This window comes from Homo sapiens, chromosome 17 (assembly GCF_000001405.40).
Source record: "Homo sapiens chromosome 17, GRCh38.p14 Primary Assembly".
NCBI lineage: Eukaryota > Metazoa > Chordata > Mammalia > Primates > Hominidae > Homo > Homo sapiens.
In genome coordinates, this window is record NC_000017.11 from 70010312 (window position 1) to 70014467 (window position 4156).

The 4156-nt window shown below is 39.3% G+C and overlaps 1 long non-coding RNA gene across 1 annotated transcript in view; it reads right to left on the reverse strand.

Annotated features, from left to right (window-relative positions):
• The window catches only part of LOC105371881 (uncharacterized), a 78916-nt gene that overhangs the window by 14420 nt on the left and 60340 nt on the right, over window positions 1–4156 (reverse strand). The window lies entirely within an intron of this gene.

Genomic DNA, 4156 nt, shown 5'->3' on the forward strand with positions numbered 1-4156 from the left:
ATGGTAAAGAAGGAAAGAGAATTTTCAGGAGAGGAACACAAGCAGACTGCAGAGCAACTATTTGCTAAAGAGATTGGCATGACTGAATGGGAGCCAAGCACTAATAGTCAAGACAATGGAAAAAAGGTCTGGAAGGCGTTTCAGAAGTCTTTTGGACAGTTTTTTCCCCATACAGACCCAGAGGCCTAGGAGGAAAGAATAGTTTCAGGTGCCAGGCCTGGGATGCCACTGTCCTGTACCACCTTAAGAGGCTGCTCCCTACATCCTTTGCTGCTCTAGCTCCAGCTATGGCTTAAAGACCCTAGACACAGCTCAGGCTTCTGCCCTGGAGAGTGCAAACCATAAGCCTTGGTGGCTTCCACATGGTGTTAAGTCTGCAGGTGCACAGAATACAAGAGTAAGAGAGGCTTGGCAGCTTCCATTTAGATCTCACAGGAGGTAGGAAAAAGCCTGGGTGCCCAGGCAGAAGCCTGCCACAGGGGCAGAGCCCCCACAGACAGCCTCTACTAGGGCGATGCCAAGGGGAGAGATGGGGTTGCAGCCTCCAGATAGATTCCTCAATGGGGCACTACCTAGTAGAGCTGTGGGAAGAAGGCTACTGTCCTCCAGACCCCAGTTGAAGAGCCACCAGCAGCTTACAACCTCAGCATGGAAAAGCTACAGGCACCAGACTCCAACCCTTGAAAACAGCCATATAAGCTGCGCCTATCAAAGCCACAGGGCCAGAGCTGCACGAAGGCCTTGGGAGCACACCCTGCAGATCAGTGTACCCAGGTTGTGGGACATGGAGTCCAGGATCATTTGGGAGCTTTACGATTTTGGGTCTGCCCTGCTGGGTTTTGGACTTGTGTAGGGCTTGTTGCCTTTTTCTTTTGGCTAATTTATCCCTGTTAGAATGAGGATGTTTACCCAATGCCTGTGCCACCATTTTATTTTGGGAGTACATAACTTGTGTTTGATCTTTACAGGCTCATAGATGGAAGGAACTTGCTTCTAGTCATGCTGGAATGAGTTAAGATTTTGGGAGGCTGTTGAGAATGGATGGTTGTATTTTGCAATGTGAGAAGGACATGAGATGTGGAGGGCCAGGAGCATAATATGTTTTGATGTGTATCCTTTCCAAATATGTTGTGTATCCTTTCCAAATCTCACGCTGAAATGTGATCCCCAATGTTGGAGGTAGGGCCTGGTGGGAGGGGTTTTGGTCTTTGGGGCTGATCCCTCATGAATGGCTTGGTGCCCTCCCCATGGTAATGAGTTCATGGGAGATCTGGTTGTTAAAAAAGAGCCTGGGATTGCCCCCATCTCTCTCTTGCTCCCTCTCTCATCACGAGACATGCCTGCTTCCCCTTCACCTTCTGCCATGAGTAAAACCTTCCTTTCTGACTTCTTTTCTGGCTTCTCACTTCCACCAGAAGCCAAGCAGATGCGGGTGTCATGCTTGTACCATCTGGAGAACCATCAGCCAAATAAGCCTCTTTTTAAAATAAATTACCCAGTCTGAAGTATTCCTGTAGAGCAACACACAATGGACTAAAACACTTGAACATTCAGTTTGCCCTTGTAAAGACTGTATTGTGTAGCTATTGAATGCAACCAGGAAAAAAAAGTAATGGAATATCTTGAATACCTTTATGCCAATCAATCTGACACTTAGATGAAATGAACAAATTCCTTGAAAGATACAAACCACCAAAACGAATGTAACACAAAATAGAAAAATCTGTATAGCCACAGGCAGTTCTTTATACATTCTGAATATAGTGCTTTTTTCAAATTGATAAATTGTAAATATTTTCTCCTGGGCCATGGCTTACATTTTCATTTTTCTTATTGGTGCTCACTGAAGAGAAGATGTTCTAATTTTGATGAAGTCTGATTTATCAATTTTCTTCATAATGTTTTCGCATCCTGTCTTGTCTATCCTGGGTAGGGAATGTATTCTCTGTCTTCTTCTAGAGCTGTTTTACATTTAGCTTTTACATTCTTGTTTATACTTCGTCTTGAATTAAATTGTGCATGCAGTGTGACAAGTCTCAGCTACTTCATACTACACATAATGCAGAAAGCCCTCTAGGGAAGATACTGTATTAAATGGGACTCTCACCCAGTGTGACTTCCTCCTTTCAAAGATCCAAAGCCCCCTGCTTTCTGCTTGTTTCCTCACTCTACAGTGCCTTCAAAATGTTTTTTACATTTTGCTCAGCTTCTAATTGTTATTCTCAGGCATATCATTCCATTCCACCGCTGGGCTCAAAAGTTCCTGAGTCTCTTTTTAAAACCACATGTCTGACTGTATTTAAAATCTCCAGCAATTCTGAAAAATTTCCAGCTACTCTCCATTTAAATATTTCTTTTATTCTCTGTTCTCTCTACTTTCTCCTGTTATAATTTCTATTAGACATTTTTGTACTTCCTTATTCTGTCCTTATTTCTGTTAATGTTTTATATTCTGAATTTCCTTTTCTCTTTATACTGTATTCCGAATAATTTCCCCAGTTCCATTTTCCAGATTACTAATTCTCATTTCAACAGCAGTTTAATTTGTCCAATGATCTTTTTTCTTGCTTTGATCACATATCTTAATTCTGGACTTCCCTGTCTTTCCCCAAATCTGTTTATTTTTGTCCTTGTGTTTTTATTATTTATTTTATATCCTTAACTATTTGACTTATATCTGTGTTACAGTCTTTTTACATGATTCTATTACTTCAAATTTTATGTATACTAATATCCCTGTTTGTTGATCCAACCTCATGTATTGTTTCTTTTATCAGTTTTTATTGTGGGCACCTTCAGCAGAGGTTGATATTTTATTTTTCTCGGTGAAACTGTATGTGCTTTCAGTTTACTCTGCAGTTTGCTCCTGAAATTTCAAGGGCTTGTGACCTGTCTGTATGTTGATTTCTCACGTTGGGGAAACAAGTACCATGTAAGTATCATAAACTTTGCCCCATATTGATATATTGTGCTGGTCTGACATGTTTTATTTCCAATAAAAAACTTAATTGTCTCCTCCTATTAAGAAGATCACAGGCAGATATGTGCATTTTTAATGTCATATTCATAGACCATTGATTAGGTTATATCTAGCACATGTCTTATAGTGGGTCAAAGCTAGACCTAACCTATCTGATGTAAGGGTCTCAGTTCTAATTCTCAATCAAATGCTAGATCCATGCAACCTCTATATTAATTAAAATATCAGCCTCTAGTCTCTATGATCTATCTCTAGTCTCAGATTCTGGAGTTCCTAGTGCATCCATTCATAAACTTATCTCTCTGACTTTAGTTGCCTCTTTAGTTCTGGAACCTGAAAATTTGTCTTTTTTTTTTTTTTTGTCATTTGAGTGCAGCTGTACGACTAATCAAATATTCCTGTTGCAGTGAGAAGAAAGAGTCTCTAATTTCCAGTAAAACTTGAAGTTCCCATTAGATTTTAGATTTTATTAGATTTTGTTTTTCTTGAAGGCATGTAGTGGTATGTTTTATTTATATGTTTATCTTCTGTCGCACTTAGTATAGTAGTATAAAACTCCACTGCTGCTTAATAAAAATAAAAAAAATGAAAAAAGGCATCTTTAAATAGTAAAGGCTAAAAGAGAAGGCATTCATGTTTTAAATAGATGAATTCTCTCTCCCAACCTCAAGTAGTCAAAAGAGTTAGGTGGTGGGGGCGACATATGGTGGACGTTATTCCCTTCCTTGGTACTGTATCAACAATTGCAATGTACTGCTTCATTTCAAAAAGAAAAAAAGTACCATGCTGGTTGCTGTCCACAGAAATTCTGCCAACATCCTAGTGGTTGCTGGTTTGTAATTTTATGGGTTTCCAGAGAATCAAACACTGTATTATTATGTTTGGCTACTAACTCGGGTCAGCAGTTCAAAAGGAGAAAGAAGGGGAGTGAAATGGGTTGGAGGGAAAAGAGAGAGCACACATGACCTGGTATATTTAAAACAATAGATTTAACGTATTGAATTTGAATCCATCTTTACTGAATCTCAATTTCATTTTTAACAGACAAAAATTAGTCTATGTTAAAAGCTGTGTTTTATGTATAAATAGAAGATGTGGCCATTGTGAACCAGTTTTAATTTTGACTGGAGAATAAAGTAATAGGTTCTTTTTTCCATGGATATCCTTTTACAAAGA